Source organism: Homo sapiens, chromosome 1 (assembly GCF_000001405.40).
Source record: "Homo sapiens chromosome 1, GRCh38.p14 Primary Assembly".
In the NCBI taxonomy this organism is placed as follows: Eukaryota; Metazoa; Chordata; class Mammalia; order Primates; family Hominidae; genus Homo; species Homo sapiens.
Genome location: NC_000001.11, coordinates 74,145,576 through 74,166,153, shown reverse-complemented (window position 1 = coordinate 74,166,153; position 20,578 = coordinate 74,145,576). Strand labels below are relative to the sequence as shown.

Genomic DNA, 20,578 nt, shown 5'->3' with positions numbered 1-20,578 from the left:
CAAACATGTAAAAGTAACACCAATTCTGTACAATATATTCCAAAAAATAAAAATAAAAAAGGAACACCTCCTAATTTATATTATGAAGCTAAAATTATCTGGATACCAAAATGAAAGACAGCACAAGAAAGGAAAACCACAGATCAATATTCCTTAAGAGCATAAGCATAGAAATCTTTAAAAATATTAGCGAATACAATTCAGCAGTATATAAAAATATATACTATGATCAAGTGGGACCAAGTATAGGGATTCAAGGATGGTTCAACATTCTAAACCAATAAATGCAATCCACCTTATTAAAAGACTAAAGAAGAGATGTCATACCAATTCATGCAGAAAAAAATTTGACAAATTTCAACATCTATTTGTGACAAAAACTTTCAGAAAAATATGTTTAGAAGGCAACTTCCTCAACTTGAGGAAAAACATCAAGAAAATACCTACAACTAACATTATGCTTAATGGTGAAAGAACACTTTTCCCACATTATTGGGAATAAAGCATGGATGTCCACTGTCACTTCTCTTTTCAACATAGTGCCAGAAAATAGCCAGTACAACAAGGTGAGAAAAGGAAACAAAAGGAAAAGAAATTGGAAAAGAGGAAATACAACTCTATTTGCAGATCAAATGATCACCTATGTAAAAAATCCTCAAGAATCTACAAAGAATATATTAGAACTAATAAGTAAGGTTAGCATTGTCTCAGTATGCCAGATAAACATACAAAAATTATATTTCTATATACTAGCAATGAACACATGGAAGCCAAAATTTGAAATACAATTTATCATCATTCAAAGAAATGAAATACTTAATATATAAATCTAACAATACATGCACAGTACTGCTGCGCTGAAAACTACATAACACTGATTTAAAAAATAAAAATAAAGATCTCAATTCTACCGAAATTTATATACAGCTTCAATGCAATTCTTATCAAAATTCCATAAGATTGTAGATGTAGTCAAGATTATACTGAATTTTATATGGAAATATAAACAAACTAGAATTGTTAAAAGAACTTAGAAAAACAAGAAAAAAGTGGGATGCATCAGTTACCTTATTTTTAGACACGTGTAGCTATCGTAATCAAGACTGTGGTGGTATTGATAACACATGGGCACATAGATCAATAGAACAGAAAATAAAACCTAAAAATAGGTTCATGCAATATGTCCAAATGAATTTTGGCAAAGGTACAAATGTAATTTGATGAAGTAAAAAAGTCTTTTCAATAAATGGTCCTGGAGCAATTGGGTATCCATAGCCAAAAGACCAATAACATCAAAACTCCTCAGTCTAAGTTTCATACTTTATACAAAAATTAACTCAAAATAGGTCAAGCAGTTGTGTAAGATGTAAAGTTACAGAATTTTAGAAAAGTAATACTTTTGGGCATCTAGGACTAGACAGAATTCTTAGACCTGACATCAAAAGCATACTTTGTAAAAGGAATAAATGATAAAATGCATGTAATCAAATTTTTTTTCAAAAATTTTGCTCTATGAAAGACCCTGTTAGGAGAATGAAAAGATAAGCTACAGATTTGGGGCAAGTATTTGCAAACTCTATGTATTTGTTTGCTAGGGCTGCCATAACAAAGTACCACTAGGTAGCTTAAAGAGAAATGTATTTATTTATTTACAATTCTGGAGGCTAGAAATCCAAGATTGAGGCATCAGCAAAGTTGATTTCTTCTGAAGACTCTCTCATTGGCTTGTAGATGCTCTTCTTCTCCCTGTCTTTACATGGTGTTTCCTCTGTGAAAGTGTTTGTGTCCAAATTTCTTAAAAGAACACCAGTCATATTGTATTAGAGCCCACCCATATGGTCTTATTTTAACTTATTTACCTCTTAGAACTCTATCTCCAAATACAGTCACATTCTGAGTTATTGGGGGTTAGTAATTCAGTATATGAATTTGAGGGGAAACGATTCAGCCTATAGCACCCTGTATCTGAAAAAAGACTAGTATATAGAAAATGTATACAACTCTCAAGCCTTAAAACACACACACACAGACACACATACACACACACGTCAAAAACATATGAAACAATCTAATTAAAAATTGAACAAAATCCAGAAGAGGAATTTCACCAAAGGGTATATACAGATGGCAAAGTAATCACGTGAAAAAATATTCAATATCATTAGCTGTTAGGGAAATGGAAATTGAAACCACAATGAGATATTACTACATACTATTCAGAATGGCTAAAATTAAAAAAAAAGAGTGACAATAAATTCTGGCATGTATGCAGCAAAACTGGTAGGAAAATAAAATAGTACAGCCACTCTGGAAAAGATTTTGACATTTTCTGAAAAAACTAAACATGGAATAATCATATGATTCAGCAATTGCAATACTGAGAATTTATCCCAGAGAAATGAAGGCTTATGTTCACATAAAAGCTTGTACATGAGTGTTTAAAGCAGTTTTATTGGTAATGGCCCCGAACTGGAAAATACCTAGATGTCCTTCAATGAGTGAATGGTTAAATGAATTGACACATCCCTACCATGGTATAGTACTCAACCAGAAATATTAACAGATTATTGATACACATGCAGCAATCTGTGTGAATGTCCATAGAATAATGCTACTTATATAAAATTATTTCAACAATAGAAAAATTATATTTTCACTGCCTAGCACACTTAGAGTACTCACTTTTGTTATATAACTACTATGTACTATGTTACAGTTTTGTTCTATGCCCTGGGTTTACAGTTAATAAAACACAGCCATCTTGTACCTCAGTGTTTACCAAGTGATCCTTATAAATACTGATTTAAATAATGCAAAAGATTCCATGCTAGTGTGGGAAGTTTCACACAGATTTTTTACCATTTTGTGGGACTATTAAAGTGAACATAATATTAAAAGAATAAATAAAAAGGTAAAAATGATATGATTTTTCTTTATTTGAAATAAACACTTATGGGATTGGTATGTTTTACACTTTTCAAATATGCTGAGAAAATGTGTGCCAAATTTGGATTTTTAAAAAAAATTAACTGATATAATTGTACATATTTATGGCATTCATGGTGTTTCAAAATATATAGTGTATAGTGATCCAATCAGCATAGTTAGCATATTCATCATCTCAAACATTTATCATTTCTTTGTGTTGGGAACATTCACTATCTTCCTTCTAGCTATCTAAAACTATATAATATGTTATTATTAACTATAGTCATTTTGCAGTGATATAAACACTAGAACTTATTCCTCCTATGTACATGTAATTTTCTGTCTTTTGACAAATCTTTTCCTATCTCTTCTTTCCCTCTACCCTTCCCAGCCTCTAGTATCCTCTGTTCTACATTTTACTTCTATGAGATCAAATATTCTTATGGAAAATATTCACAAATAAAATAGAAAAAGATAAACTTTATGGACTAGATCGTAGAACTAAAAACGTGGAAGTAGGGAAGATAAAAATTATATAAGTACAATATGCATTTAGAATGTCAAATTAATTGGGAAATTGTTTTGCATCATTTTATACAATGTGACTAGCATATAGTTTTAGAATTAGTTTTTAAACAACTCTTACTGTTGACATGCAAAACACTGTCATCCATATGAGTCATAATTATAAAAGTCCTTAATATTCTTTTGCATGTCTCACTCTATTTCGTTCCAGGATTAGTAATAGCCCGTTTCATTTCAGGCACGTAGTATAGAATTTCTATTATTCTACCAATCATTTTATTGATTGTTGATAGTTTTTTGCCTAAGCATCTTTTGTTCTTTGCTAAGCCTTTACTATAATTCCTTTGATTGGATTGAAAACATTTGTAGTGATTATCTTTTATAGTTAATTTGTTGATTTCATAATTTTACATTATATTAGTTTGGATAAATTAATTAGTACACGTCTCTTTTTAGATAAAATTTTGTAAGTATCAAATATAATAATGTATGTAGAAGTCCCTTATAAACCCTAAAACACTATATCATTTTAAGTATTGCTATAAAACTGTTGAAAGATAACATTGTTTGCATGCTTAAAACCTCACAACAACCCAGTGAGTTGTACCATCGTTATCTCCATTTTACAAATGATGAAAACATGATACAGATAGGTTATTTACCCTATAATACACAGCTAGCAAGTGGTAGAACTAAGATTTAAACAAATGTAGTTTTTCTTCAGAGCCGTCACTTCTTTAATGGAGGGAATGCATTATTATTATTATTATTATTTTACAAAGAGGATTCCTTCATCTTCAGACATCAAATGGTTTATGGCATTTGTAAAATTTTGCAGGGTCTTTATTGTTACTTTTCAAGATCATTGTTTTATGACATCAGAAAGCTTAAGTATTGTCTGGAGTTTACTTGTTCTCTGGAAGGGACACTCATACTACCCAGAGCTGATGAATATTCTGTTTATTTCTTTAATGAGAAGGAATTTTTCATGACTCAGTGAGAAGCAGGACTCTGATGTAAACTGCAATATGAGCTTAATGTTTCTCTACTGATGAGAACTGCTTCTGACCAGGGCTACTTGGTTCTAATCATCTAAATTCCCTCCTGTATTCTTTCTGCTTCTCCAACACTTCTACCCCCATCCCCTTGCCACCACTTATGCACTTTTACATCATTACACTCAACCCCTTTAATCCTAAGCCACAGGTGGCATCATGAGCACAAATGTAATTAACAAACATATAGATTTGTGGAAATCACATCTATACTAGAAACTAGTAAAAGATAATATTCTTACAAAATATTATTAGCTCTGGATAATTCTAGACATAGCAAAGACTTTTTGTCGGATACGATGAAGGTGAGACTGCTATGGTCTAAATGTGGCCAGTCTAAAATTTACATGCTAAAATCTAATCTCCAATATGATGGTATTTGGAGGTGGAGACTTTTGGAGGTGATTAGGTCATGAGGGTAGAACCCTCATAAATAGGATTCGTGTTCTTTGTAAAGAGGCCCCAGAGAGATCCGTCCCCTTTCCATTACGTGAGGACACAGTGGGAAGGTACCATTTATGGACCAGGAAATGGGCCTTAATCCAACACTAAAACTGCCAGTAGCTTTATCTTGGACTTCCCAGCCTCCAGAACTGATAGAAATAAGTTTCTGTTGTTTATAAGCTACCCAGACTATGTATTTTGTTGTAGCTACCCAGATGGACTAAGACATAACTGAATCAAAAGAAGAAACTAAGGCAGCCTGACTTTAAGCTATTCTTCCTGAAAAATATTATAAAATCACAGGAACTAGAGGAAATTCTGCAAAACCCTCTATGTTTTCAGGGTGACGATAGAACAAGTGACAGGATCCATTACTACAGAATAGGTTTCATGGAGAGATTCAAGTACAGTCAGGGTTACAATAAATATCAAATGGTATATGATAGGACTCGTGTGAGAGCAGTTAGGAGCTTCAGAAAAGAACTTAGACTCAGCCACATAACTGAAATAGTTGATAAGCTAAATAAAAAATTCAATATGAGAAACTGACCTTTGACAGAGTGGCTTCACCAAAATGAGAATAAATACATAAAGTTATGAGAAACAATGTAGACATTCATGTAATATTTATAAATAGGATGGAATTACGGTAGAGAAAATTAAAGCAAATAAAGGAGAAGCAATAATCAGGAAATAATGGATAAAACACCATGAATCTGAGTACTGGGAAAAATTCTGTGAGCAAAGTACATATATTTTCTTTAAAAATCTTTGAAGTTCAATTCTCTAATCACAGGAAAAAATGCAGAAGTATTTATATTTCTGATGAATTTTTTGAATGTAAGAAATTACTAGGCAAATAGAGGTGTTGGCATGAGTGAAGAGCCTGTGAGGCAGAGTGGAAAGCATTTGCAAAGGCACAGAGGTATTGATAGAGCTTGGCACATGCAAGTGACAACAAGTAGTTTCGTGTTCTTGGAGTTTAGAGGATATGTTTGGGCATGTCAAATGATGCTGGAGACAAAAACGGGATTAAAATAGCAAAGGGTGTTATATGTAATACTAAGGAGACAGGACTTTATCTTGCAAGATCTTGGGGAAACATTTCAGGCATTTATATGACCTGATTTTTATTCTAGAAAAATCATCCTGTATTCTGTAATTTTGGAGTGGAGGGAAATTGAATATAGGGGAATTAGGAGTCTATTATAATAGTTCAGGTATAGTGTATAAGGAACAGATTGAAGGGCTATTTGATAGAATTTAGTGATTTATTGAATGGAAAAAGGTGCGAGAGAAAGAGGAATATGGGTTTATTACTTGGTTGACACGACGAAGAATCGTTTTTATGACTATATAGATAATATAATATGAGTGTGGATTGATTCAAGTTAGGGAGATAATTATTTATAGTTTTGACATCAAAGTAAATAAATGGAATTGGAAGTTTATTTTATATGCCTGTAATTTAAGAAAGAATGTCTGACAGGAGATTACAGCTATGTGGATAATCTAGGTATGTGAGGCAGTAAGATATTACAAGGAAGGTTTTCACTTGAGAAGAGTTAGCCAAGAAAGATGAAAAAGAATGAAAATCTAAGTTAAATCAAATGTTTAAATGTTTGCAGAAGAAAATGAACCAGCAAAACAGACTAAGAAAAGTTTAAAAGGGAGAAAAAGAGTGTGATGTCTTTGTAGCCATGCAAAATAATTGAGTTACAAGAATAAATTGATTGACATTGTTAAGTCACGCTTGGAGGCCAACGATAATGATTACTTAGTATTTTAACAGTCAATTGATAATCAAATGCCAGTTATAGACCAGATATCTCAGTTAGTCCAGATATGTAGGATGAAGAGTTGTTAAATTTGGTGAGCTTATATGGAGAAGATACACCAATGATTGCATTAAAGAATAATTTGTCAGCTAAAAACATCAGGATTAATAAATAGAGACCTTATTCAAAAAGCTGATTGCACGTGAGGGAAAGGAACTATTGCAATAGGCAGAGTGGGATTATTACAATGTGGAGAATGTTCTGACCATAAGATCTGCAAAAGTCATAATGGTTAGGCAAAAGAATTTCTCATTTATAAGGAGGAATAAACAAGACTATAAATAAATGAATGTGGGGAAGTGGAATGAAGAAAAGTGGTATGGTCTGACCTTAGAGCACAGACTGTTTTACCCTGAGAAAAACCTATTCTTAAGAGGGGCTGTTAAAGGGAGACTGTGTGCTGGCTGGGGCTGATGGTGGGCCAAAGTTCAGGGGCCCAGGGGAAGGAAATAATCTCAACTAAAGTTGGGCTAACAAATATTTTATTCCAATTGATTGGTGGGGACAAAACCTTTCAGCTAATTGTTAAAGAAGGGAAGAATGGGAATTTGTAAGGTCTGTGTCAGGTCTTGTTATAAACAAACAAGAAAGGCATCCAAGAGTATTATTTAAGTCAGTCATAAAGAGCAGGGTGCTTCTTTTCAGTAAGCCATTTCCTGAAACAAAGGACTGAGGAGATTTCTTAACTTTCACTGTTTTCCAAGAACACAGGGGTCAGGTAAAACTCAACATTGTCGAGAGTGACAAATGAATTATTTCACACGACACAGGATAATATTGTATAAAGACACTGAATGCAGATCAACATCAAGAAAGTCTTCTTGGGGGAAGGAACTGAGTCTCCCAAAGACTAAAATTGTGAGACAAATCATTGAAAAAGGCAGTTCAAGAAATACAGATGGCAAAAAGCATTTAAGTTTGATTATCAGGTAATTCTATGTAGGATAAATTGAGATGAGATTAAGGAGCTAGGATGGGACTAGATCAAGAAGGACTTTGTGTGGCAAACCAAGACATTTGTAATTTGTCTTTCATTGGCAAGCCAATAAATATATTAATCTAGAATGTCATATGATAAGATTTACATTTTGGAATGCTCAATCTAGCAATAGTGCATTTTATGGTTTGGAGAAAGTGGGGGAACAGGAATTAATGAAGATATAAGTTAGGAGAATTTTAGTAAGTTACGGAAGTGGTGTTAAAGACATAGGAAAAGCAATGGCAGAAAATAGAAGAAAAAGAGAGGTAAGACTGATATTTGGGATGTTGAATGTACTGCATCTAGTAACATTTGCATGCCAGGAAGCATAAAAAAAGAGAGAACCTAGGATGGTTCCAGGGTTTCTGGTTTAGGCAACTGTGGGCACTGGTACCATTTACTAAGGTAGTGTATATGAGAAAGCAGGTTGGGAAAGAAAATTCATATTTGGGAAAGTTGTATTTAGTTAGATATCAGTTTGACTATATTGTTACGTAGGTCAGGCCTAAACATAGAAATCTGAGAGTCTGTAGCACAAAAGTGAGTGTTCAAGCTATGAACTTAGAAGTGGTCATTTGGAGGATGTGTAGAGATTAAAAAGCAACATGGAGAAAATTCTTTCAATGTAACAATGAAGTGATAAACATGGTATATATAGTTTTTTTTAAAGTGCAGAAGTAAACAAGATTTAGAGGAAAACTGAAAGAAGTGTAGTACAGAATCTAAGGCAAGTGTTTCAAGGAGGGAATGTCCAATGTTAACTCTAAAAAAGTGCCCTTGGATGATAGGGATAGAAGCCAGTGGAATGAGAGATAGAAAAACAAAACAAAAAAAAAGAAAGTGGGAGAAACAAACATGGAATTCTGTTTCTAGATTTTGGGCTCTTAATGAAAGTTAGATATAAAGGATTGAGAGTTAGGATTTAAGGATAGGTAAAGTTATATCATCTTTATATATGAACAGATAGTGCTAGCAGAGGGAGAGCCTTAGAAAACAGATATGAGACTCATAATAGAGTGCCAATCTTAGACAAAAAAAGAGTTACTTCTTGTTTTAAGTTTGAGTAGAAGGCACTTCTACTCAGTATAGATAGGAATATAGTTAAATTTACAGAGAATGGAGGGGAGTTAATTGATGGAGTTCAGACTTGATGGCTCTAGTTTCTCTGTGAAAAAAGAAGCAGAGTGTTTAGGAAGCTCCAGGGAATGGACTGGAAGAGTATCGAATAGTGTCAAAGGTTTTCAGTAGCTAATGTTGGGAATAGAATAAAGACAGAGCCAAGGAAATAAGTTTATAATTAGCAATGAGTGTTTGAAAGTATAAATCGGAAGCGGCACTAATCTGCAAGGTGTTGTGATTTTTTTTTTGTTTCCTGTAAACTTTTTTATTGAGTGTATATGCAGAAAAGGTGTATGTTTTAAGTGTAATAGGGTTGATAATTTTCAGAAGAGGTGCTTCATGAACAATGCAATTGTCAGTATTTTTAATGCATTATCTTACATTCAAAACATAAACAGTGACCTTATTTCTAACCAGTCAAGTTGTCAATGAAATATACTGAGCCTACGATCTCAAATCTAAAAATTTTCAGGAAAGGAGATCTTTCTCAAAGCCAATACAGGATCTTTTCCAAGATAATTTGCTGTGTTCCAATAAAAGTGTCCAACATTCTAGTTAAGCTACAACAAAATTTTTAACTACTATACATTATTTTATGAATCAAAGTATATCAATTTTATTTATGGGGGCTGACAGAGTATTTGCAGTTTCATTGGACACCTGTTTGTGCCACTACCATTTAGAGAGCAGAATGATTATGGTTAAAATTTTATACATATATTATCAGATTGGGAAAATAATCTTTAATGGAAAAAGTTATCATCAAGAATCTTATGTTTTGTGTAGAGAATTGAAATTACTTGATGCTACTAATTATTGTTCTTTTACTCTAATAATAAAAATGTATTTATTATTTTTATTACTCAGTTTCATTGCTATAAAGAAATACCTGAGGCTGGGTAATTTATAAAGAAAAGAGGTTTATTTTGGCTCATGTTTCTATAGGGTATATAGGAAGTATGGTGCTGGCATCTGTTTCTGGTAAGGGCCTCAGGAAACCTACAATCATGGTGGAAGGTGAATGGGAGGCAGGCAAGTCACATGGTGAGAGAGGGAGCAGGAGACAGAAGGGGTGGTCCCACAACCAGATCTCATGTGAACTATATGAGCAAGAAGTTCACTCATCATCAAAGGGATGACACTAAGCCATTCAGGAGGGAACAGCCCCCATGATCCAATACCTCCCACAAGCCCCTATCTCTAACATTGGGGATTGCATTTCAACATAAGATTTGGAGGGCACAAACATCCAACCATATCATAATTTAACTATAATGCCTGTAAGACCTTGTGAACATTTTGTTAGTTTATTTAAACCAATAGATTACCAAATTTAAAATATCTTTTGAAAATACTTTCATGAAAGATAAAAATTATTAATTATATTTTCTTTATACAGGGAACAACCTATGAAGAGGAAATTAATAATATTAAACATATTACTTCAAAAATTAATGCAATTCTGGCTCATAATTCACCAGTTTTGATTGTTCAAAGATGGATACGTGGTTTCTTAGTTAGAAAAAATTTGAGGTATGTTTTGTTTTCTTTACCATTTGAATATTGAAATAAGAAGGTGAAGAAATAAATGATAAGAAGTCAATTCTCCAATAATTTGCATTTTTGTATTCTCTATCATTAAAATGGTATAGTCTGTTTAACCTAACTTTAAGAAAAATACCACAGACTCTATAGTAATATAATATTTAACATAATCAACATTTGATATTTTATTTTTTCTTTTCAACTTACCATATAAATACAAATGTAAGCCATGGATTATATAATGGGATACAATAGAATATAAAACATGGAACATACATGGAAGATTTTATATTTTATTTAGATGCGAATACAATTTTGCTGTCACATCTGCTACCACGTCAATCTATATTGTCCTTTATTTAGTTGTCTTTTCCTCTTTTCTTGTTCCTTGCATTCCTTTGCAGTAGCTAAGCTTTGCAAATAAATGGAAACCTTTTTGCTAGAATTTCTCAACATTGTACTTGCAGAGATATGATAGGATACTCTGTCATCAATTTATAGTATTGGTCATACCAAATGTCAAACATATGAAAAACTAAATGAAAATATTCATATAGCTTATTCTAATTGGTAAAGTTCAGAAGATAGAAATGAAATTTGGCCCTGAAATATAGATAGGATTGACGTAGATCTGGAATAAGAAAACAGACATTTGTTGATAAAGCAAGATTAGGAAGTTTCACTGAAATGAGATTCAACATTCTGTGGTAAGATAGACACAATGAGATGTAATGCCTTCCAGCACAAGCCAATATATGCTAAATCATAGGTGGCAATAGTCCTGATAAAGAGAAACAAGTATGAGGAATAAGTAGTGAAACTGACCATAAATACAGTGCCTCCGACTTCTGAGGAAGTGGTTCCACATAATTTTCCACACTGAGGTCAAAATATGAGAGAACATAATCTCACATTGGAGACAAGTCAAATTACCTGAGTAAAGGAGGTGCAAAAGAATCAATCAGGCAGTTGCTGAAAAGTGCATACTTATTTAAAATATTAATTCTGTCTTTATTTTGCATTGGAATTTAATGTGCTTTTTATATTAAATACAGATCTAATTAAAGGGTCTTGTTTTTAGGTTATTTCCCAGGGATTTTTTTCTCTGGTAGAATGAAGGTTCTCACTGACGCTCATGTAACATGAGATAAAAACTTTGTTCATGGGAACAATCTTTAAAAACTAAGCATGTATGAATAGAGAGTTTTGCAGGAAGAGATTTCAGTAATAATATATGGCAGGGTTCAAGACAAGATGATTTGTATTTTCTCTCTCTTTAAAGCTCTGTTCCATTAGTTACATTACTTATCTATGCTGGGCTTGAATTTCTTTATCTGTAAAATTGTAAAGAACAGGGGATAAAAAAAGTACTTATTTCTATTTGTGGGAATTGAGATGATCAATATAATGCTCTTAGCACCTGACAAAAGTAGATATTACATTTTTTTTTTTTTTTTTTTTTTTTTTTTTTTTTTTTTTTGAGAAGGAGTCTCGCTCTGTCGCCCAGGCTGCAGTGCAGTGGCGCGATCTCGGCTCGCTGCAACCTCTGACTTCCGGGTTCACGCCATTCTCCTGCCTCAGCCTCCCCAGTAGCTGGGACTACAGGCACCCGCCGCCACGCCCGGCTAATTTTTTATATTTTTAGTAGAGACGGGGTTCCACCGTGTTAGCCAGGATGGTCTCAATCTCCTGACCTCGTGATCCGCACACCTCGGCCCCCCAAAGTGCTGGGATTACAAGCGTGAACTACCGCGCCCAGCCTTAAAAATTTAATTATCATTGTTGTTGTTATATTTAGTGCTCTCTGTGTTATTTGGCCCCATGGGAAATTTTCCTTGGATTTCTTGCTCCCTTCCAGCATGCAGACAGTAATCTTTCAAAAATACAAATTTAATCATTTTATTCACCAAGTTAAAGTCCTCCAGTGGCTTTCTATTTGTTTAGGACAAATGTTTGGGATATTGCCTCTTTGATGTGTTTCACATACTTTTATTATCACAAGCTCTTACCATACCGTATTATAGTCGTCTCTATAGTTACCTATATCTCCAGATTTACTATAAACTCTATGAGACTGTATCTCTGTTTTCCACTCTGTATCTTTAATATGTAACAGAATGCCTGACACATGTTAGGTGCTCAAAAATACTTTCTGAATTGATTAATACATCAACAAATGGAGAGACAGTGGGAGCTGAAATCAGATCTGGATTCATGCATGGAAAGGTGAAAGTAAGAATTAGGAAATATGAAGAGCTCCCCTGAGAGGCAACTATAGATTCCCACAACCTAGGGTCCGAGTGATTAGTCTTCTTGTGTCTCTATTTCTAGGCATGAGAAATGTCTCCTCACACCCAAATATTTTGTACTTTGAAATTTTTAACTTTAAGTACTTGAAATATATATGGCCAAAATTTATAAAATTATTATGATTAATGCTATTATCTTTTAGAGTGGTAGTATTTCTAGTACGGGTGATACAATATAAGGAAAGTATACTTTTATTCTTAGAATGAAATGTTGTAATTAGATTGATAGCCTCCTAAACCTACGTAAAGGCAGCTATACTGAGATCATGGGGAGGATTATTGGTTGTCTTGATGGGTTGTAAAAAAGGAAAAAGAATGGAAAAAATATAGGAAACAAAATTTATTGAATGTGCAATATATGTAAAGCACCATGTTAGGTACATTAATCCATTATATTATTTAATAAAACAGAGCTTTTGAGTCTTTCTGTATTTTCTGTTTTACAGATGAAACATTAAGAGTTTAAACTTGGTGGGGAGGCTAATATATGAATCAATATTAGAAAGCCATTTTGTGTTGGTCATTTGTGGTCAGTTATGAAGAGATGAAACCGCATGTAAATAAATATCAGGTTCCGGTATTAACACATTCCAAATTCCATGCTCCTTTTACTTTTCTAACAACACCCCTGAAGTCAGCTTTTCCAAACAGCTCTAGTCCTTTCAGTAAGGAATGGTATTTGGAAAGTAAGATCTAGAAACTAGATGTATTCATTGCTATTGGGGTGTCATTATTCCTAGCTCATTTTAGCAGACAGAATATGGATTATTCTTTCCATCATAATTTCATGTTAACACCCCAAATGTTAATCCAACACAGAGGGTTATTCACTGCTTTCATTCAACATTATATTTCCCTTTGAATTTTGGTTGCCAACATTATTAATTTTACTCATTAGCTTAATCCTACAATATACACAAAATAGTTTCATAGTCACTACTACACACTACTATCAACAATGTATTTAATACAATTCAAGATTTGTTGCAGGATTTTTTTAATGATTAGACTGGAGATATATTGTTGAAATAGTTTGTTGAATAGTTACTCATATTCATTTATCATAGTGATGGTAGTTCTTTTTCTACTGATTTTCTTTTTAATTTTAAAAATATTCCTTATTTTAGTCTATTTCACTTAGGAAATTTTTTGTTGTTTTCATTTATAATTATAATCCTTCTGGTTTAGTCTTTATATATAAAATTAGTTTTTAAATACTGATTTTTTTCTCATTTCTATCACTGCATTTCTAAATTTTCTCTTACATGTCTTATATAATTTTCTTGCTATCTTTTTGTTCATTTTGAAATAATAGGTGTAATTTTATTTTTATTTTTTATAAGGTTCACTTTCTGGCCTGCTTCCATTGTCTACAATGATATTGTTATGCTCTTTACTTTCTTCTTATTATAATTCTGTAAAGAACGAGATAGTGATTTTTCTGCATTGCTGTTTCTATAAAATTAGTTTTTCTGAACTTTAAGAAAAAGCTTTTCTTATTTTAGTATTTAAAACTACTCCTATTGTGTTTGTGTAGCATCCACAGTATCGTGGTTCTCTTTCTGCTGTCTCTGACTGTGGTTTCTATTACCTCCCTGTTAATGTGGATATTTTGCTCTCTCTTTTCACTGTTTTTCTCTGCCACTCAATTACTATTATTTTCCCAGGAAATTCTCCTCACTTTGGGCTTTGACCTGTAAGAGAGTTTTGGCTGGTTAGTTTTGGGGGTTTAGAGTCCCGGAATGCTTCAGATCCTTTAGATCTTACCATAGACTTTTTATTTATTGTATTCACACACTAATGCCCATCCCCCCCACCCCGGATTTAGCTTCTGTTCTATTTGTTTTGTTTCTATCCATCAAATGCCTCATTACTTTTGTCTGTTTCCTCCTGAATAATTGCTAACACAGCAGTGGGCTTACAATTGTCTATGATTTTTCCCCATTCATTCACATTTTAGATTTCCCGAGGATACCTTGTCACATAGTACTGTTGTAGATATTTAAAAAAATTTGCCTTCTAGTTGTTATGTTTGTTTCTATGAAGGAATCTGGAGAAATTAGAAAACTATGTCACTGCCATAACTATTATCCCACAGTGCCTTTAAAAAGTAGTGTTTACATGTTAAAAGCATCATTCAGGCTGAGGTGGGCAGATCACGAGGTCAAGAGATCGAGAGCATTCTGGCCAACATGGTGAAACCCCGTCTCTACTAAAAATACAAAAATTAGCTGAGCATGGTGGTGCATACCTGTTGTCCCAGCTACTCAGGAGGCTGAGGCAGGAGAATTGCTTGAACCCAGGAGGCGGAGGTTGTAGTGAGCCGAGATCGCGCCACTGCACTCCAGCCTGGTGACAGAGCAAGACTCCATCTAAAAAAAAAAAAAAAAAAAAAAAAAAGAAAGCATCATTCAATAACTATTTCTGGCAAACTAAATTTCTGTGACTTTCACATTTTAGGTGATATTTATTAAATAAATATTTATTTCTTAAAACATATAAGGTGGAGAGAAATGAAATATCCTGTAGTCATATCATGAGAGGTATGATTAGGGGAACTTGGATATATAAGTATCAGAAGAGTAAATTTAAGGCAATTCAAATAGTTGACCTCAAATTGTTGAATATTTTCTGTAAGTAAAATAGATAAAAGAATCAGGTATAGTGAGTGAAAGTTTTAGAAAGACAAATTTCAGCTTATTTTCCAGGAAAAATGTTTAACTCTGATTGTCTGATTGTATGGTTGCAAATTTCTTTTTGCAGGTAATGTTAATGTAGGAACCATCTAAATGCTAGGGCTATAATAAACTAGGTTTTAGCAGAAGCGAGAAAAGTCTAAGATACTTAGACTGCATTTTCCAGTAAATATGATTAAAATACATTAATATACATATTGGAAAATAATAGCAAAATAGTACGTTATCTTATCCAATGGGGAGCAAGATAAGGAGGCCCATAATCATCACTATATATTACAATTTCCTGAAGCTTTAGTAAATTTGATAATTAAAAAAAGAAGAAATAATATATTTGTATGTTTTACTTATTCAATTCAGTTCTATGTAAGAGGGATCCCCAATATCTTGGCTTAAACTAGGCAGAAGTTTTGTTTTTTATGTGAGAAGAGTCTGTGGTTCAAGAAGTCCAGGCCTGTGATACTGCACAAAATCAAGGATCCAACCTTCCTCTAACTTTTCAATCTACCTTTCTAATTTGTGTGTTTTATCTTCAAGGTCATTTATGGTCAAAATGGCTGCCAGAGTTCCAATCTTTACATCTGATTTTATGCTGGAAGACAGGCAATACTGAATGGCAGAAAGGGGCACATCTCCTGATTATAACAGCAATTTTAATCACCCTTACCGGATATACTGCATTTCTCTTTTCCTACATTTCGTTAGCCAGAATTCCCCTTTCCTACATTTCCTTGGCCAGAATTTAGTTGTATGGGTACACTGGCAGCTAAGAAATAGGGTCTTTTATCTGATCACTTTGTCACCTGTATGAAATTTGGCTACTGTTTTAAGGATTAAAAAGAGAATTGGAATTGAGTGGCAGTTTTTGCCACAGAATATTTGAAAGCAAAAGACAAAATAATAACTATTGCCTAGCAGCTACAAATGCATGTATGAACAAAAGAGAGAGGCTAGAATATCAAGAATCTAAGCATCTGTCTCATGAAGATAGAAAAATAGCAGAAGTTATACCCAAACAGAGTAAAGGGGAATAAGAAAAGTAGTATCAGAAATGAATGAAATGGAATACAAATATACAATAAACATGAGAAAATGCACATGAAAAAATTAATATATTTAAGAATTCATTATTTGTGGAGAGAAATTGGTAGTACTCCAGCAAGACTGATAAAGCAAAGAGTAATTACCAACGTAAAGAATTTAAAAAGGCACATTGCTGTAAGTCTACAGATATGAAAGAGAATAAGAACAACTTTATATCAAAAATTACAATTTTTTATGTGATATGAAAAAATTCTGTGAAGAAACACAATTTTCAAGCTGACAAAGGAAGAAATAAAAATACTAAATAGTTGTACATACATTAAAAAATTGAACACATTCTTGAAGTGCTTTTCACAAAGAGACATTGAGCCTGGATGAATTTACTGATGCATGATTCTATACATGTAAGGAAAATATAATGCCATCTTACGTAAATTTCCCAGAGAGTAAAAGAAAACACTTTACATATTATTTTGAGAGATCAACAAAACCTTAATATCAAAATCTTACAAAGACGTTACAAGAAAGAAAATTTCAGGTCAGTGTCATGAATACAGATGTAAAAATCATGAATACAATATTAGAAAATTAGATCCAATGATATAGAAAAAATAATACCTTATAACCATATAATTTATTCCAGGAATACAAGGTTAATTTAACATTAGAAAATCACTTATATTAACCGACTAAAAGAGGAAAATAACACCATGGGCATTCCTCCCTTTTGCCTGGAACCATGTTGACTAAAATGTGTGCCTATTATAAGCCAATTGTGTCCTCACTTGGCATGGTTTCAAGGTAACAAAGATTTGATCTTATTTAATCTCTTCTCACATGTGGTAGACAGAATTCCTAGGTGACCCACATGGCTTTTGTTCCCTGGTGTTACTCGCATGGTCATGTTATGTTGCAGGACAAATGATATTATGCAGATGTAATTAAAATGACTTACTAATCAGTTGACCTTAGGAGAGATTATCTAGATGGATCTAACGTTATCTCACGAGTACTTTAAAAACAGAATTTTCACTGAATAACTGAACAAGTGAAGGTTCCTCAAGGAAAGCTCCATGCTTCTTCCCCCACAACACACCCTATGCATCTCTTTATCTGTTTCTTTTATAATTACAACATCCTTGAGGCCCAAGGACTGGCCTAACCACAACCATAACTACTGCCACCCATGTATGCCATGTGGAGGCCTAAGGACCAGCATGTCTAGCCCACCACTGCCACAACTGGTGACTGAGGACTGGCCTGACTGGTGTCTCTGTCACCAGCAAAGTCTTGCTACAGCCTCTACCAGCAACTGCAGCCTCAGGCACTGAAGAACTCACAGATACTTCTGATGCTAATTATGGTCAAATAAATTATACTGAGACTACTCCACTACACCCACCAGATTCAAAGTCAAAGCATCCTATCCAACCAACACTGTAGATGCATCTATAACAAAAAGTACTTCCCTACAAAATTTGGAAAAAGCAACTGTTAACACCAGATGTACAGATGTCAATGTAAGGACACAAGAAACATGAAAAAGCAGGAAACATAATGCCTCCAAAGAAACAATAAATCTCTATAAACAGATTCCAAAGGAAAAAATATATTTGAAATGGCTGAAAAATTTTTTTAATGATTTTAAAGGAACTCAATGAGATATAAAGGAACACAGTTAAACAATACAAAGATATCAGAAAAGCAATTCATGACTTGTTGAATGAGAAATTTAAAGTGACCAAATTCTCACATTTTGAAAGACCCAGAAGGAGAAGAGATGGACAAAGATGAAGAAAACCTATTTAATGAAATAATAGCTGAAAACATCTTAAGTCTTGCAAAACATATAGACCCACATACAGAAAGCTTAAAAGTCCTCAAAAAGATTCAACCCCAAAAGGTCGTCTCAATGGCATGTTATAGTTAAACTGACAAAAGACAAAAGCAGAGAGAATGATAGAGACAGCAAGAGAAAGGCCTCAAGTCACATATAAGGAAATCCCCCTCAGACTAACAGTTAAAACTGTATCCAAAACATGTTTTTATCAATAATACATGCCTTTTAAATTAAATTTTTAATATTTCTGACACTTTCACTTTATTTTATGGACATTGGGTTGATATTGGAAAGCTCTTCTGAAATGATTAGCATTTTGACATAAAATCATTATTCTCTACTATGATTGTCAGGGTAGCAACCTATGTTATCAAACATCAAATTAATTGGGTTTGAAAAATACCTTAAAATGTTTTTATTTATCATGAGTTAGAATCTTTCATGGTTGACCAAAGCAAAAGAGTAGATAAAAAGAGAAAAATTTATTTATTTCATATGGAGTTTTTTTAGAATGTTCTTGTTGCCTAGAAAATTTTAGAGATTAAGTGTACCAAATTAAATTTGCTTTTTAATTTTTCTTGTTCGTAGGCAATTCTTTTCTTTTGATGCAGAGTCTTACCTGTAGTCCAGGATGGACTGCAGTGGTGTTATCTAAGCTCACTGCAACCTCCACCTTCCTGGGCTCAAGCGATTCTTCTACCTCAGCCTCCTGAGTGGCTGGGACCACAGGCACGCGTTGCCATGCCTGGCTCATTTTTGTATTTTTTATAGAGATGGAGTTTCGCAATGTTGCCCAGGCTGGTCTCCAACTCCTGGGCTCAAGCAATCTGCCTGCCTTGTCCTCCTAAAGTGCTGGGATTACAAGTATGAGCCGCCTTGGCTGACCAATCATAGGGAACTCTTATAAAGACTATTTTATTTATTATAAAACAATATTAACTATTTAGGTCTAATCAACTATCCTACTTACTGTGAATTTTTTGGTGTTATTCAAAGTTGACAGTGGATTAGAATCATCAGATAATTTATTCAAGTTCTGGCTTGGCACTGTGTGCCAGACATTTTATGTAATTTACCTCATTTGATCCTATAAACAATCCCAAATAACTTGCCTGAGGTTTCAAAACTTGTAAGTTATAGACACAGGACTCAGGCCCATATTTCATGGATCATAACCAAATAAAATAAAATAAAATAATTTGTATTATTCTGCTAGCACTTGCTAGATCTTGGGAAATATTATTTCTTAATAAAATTTTCATAGCAAAGTTATGAAATTATATACAAATGTGCACTACCTGCCTTATAGGCATGATATAATTATTAATTTTTATCGATCAGTTCATTCTACAAGTATTTATTGAGTGCCTACCATAAGTTAGGCCCTTTCTGGGTCCTGAAGACACAACAGCAGACAAAACATTTAAATTCACTGCCTTTGTGGAGTTTATATTTTAATAGAATTACTATTTTCACATATATAGTGGCATATCATGGAACATATATAATGGTACACTAACATTGTATATGATTTTACATTATAAATAACATAATTATTTTATTCCTAATAGATTATTTTTGCTGAAATACAGTCATGCATTGCTTAATGACAAGGATGCATTCTGAGAAACATGTTGTTAGGTGATTTTGTCATTGTGTGAACCCATAGAGAGTACTTTGACAAACTTAGGTTATATAGCCTACTACACTTAGACAAACTTAGGTGGTATAGCGTATTTGTAGCCTAGGCCACAAATCTGTACAGCATATTACTATACTAAATTTTATAGGCAATTGTAAGATAATGATAAATATTTGTGTATCTAAATATAGAAAAGAGAGTAAAAGTACGGTAGTATAATTTCATGGGGACCACCAGTGTATATGCAGTTTGTCATTGACTGGAACATCATTATATGGCATATAACTGTATACTTTGCTGGAAATTTTAAATGTACACTTGTCTTTATTAACTCATTTGATCCTCACAGCAGTTCTGTGAGGTAAATATAATTACTTCATAGATATGATAGAGAAAATTGAGGATTTATTTTTAAAACTAGATAAAAAGAAGAGAAAATACTACATTTAAATACTTAATACAAATATAATTAAGAAAAAAATTAGTAATTCATTATATTTTAGTGGTGGAATATTTTACAAAATTCTTTTCAAATTTGGATTGTAGGCCTAGTATACTTGTGATGTTTTTCTGATTATTTTGTTGATGAGTAGTTAATGAGTTATTTCTTTCAT

General features: G+C 33.1%; 1 protein-coding gene across 8 annotated transcripts in view, besides 1 other annotated feature; it reads left to right on the top strand.

The window, feature by feature from the left end:
• Positions 1 to 20,578, top strand: part of LRRIQ3 (leucine rich repeats and IQ motif containing 3) — a 172,162-nt gene that overhangs the window by 32,023 nt on the left and 119,561 nt on the right. For all 8 annotated transcript variants that reach the window (XR_007079570.1, NM_001322315.2, NM_001105659.2 and 5 more), the window contains exon 4: positions 10,288 to 10,421. Coding sequence is in view for 7 of the 8 variants with exons in the window: in NM_001322315.2 (NP_001309244.1) it covers positions 10,288 to 10,421 (134 nt within the window). In the remaining variant the exon portion in view is untranslated. The remainder of the gene's footprint in view (positions 1 to 10,287; positions 10,422 to 20,578) is intronic.
• Positions 11,202 to 11,402: a silencer, noted in NCBI's record as "peak287 fragment used in MPRA reporter construct". NCBI's record gives its function as "represses an SCP1 promoter by STARR-seq MPRAs in K562 erythroleukemia cells {active_cell/tissue: K562}" and the evidence as "EXISTENCE:reporter gene assay evidence [ECO:0000049][PMID:32103011]".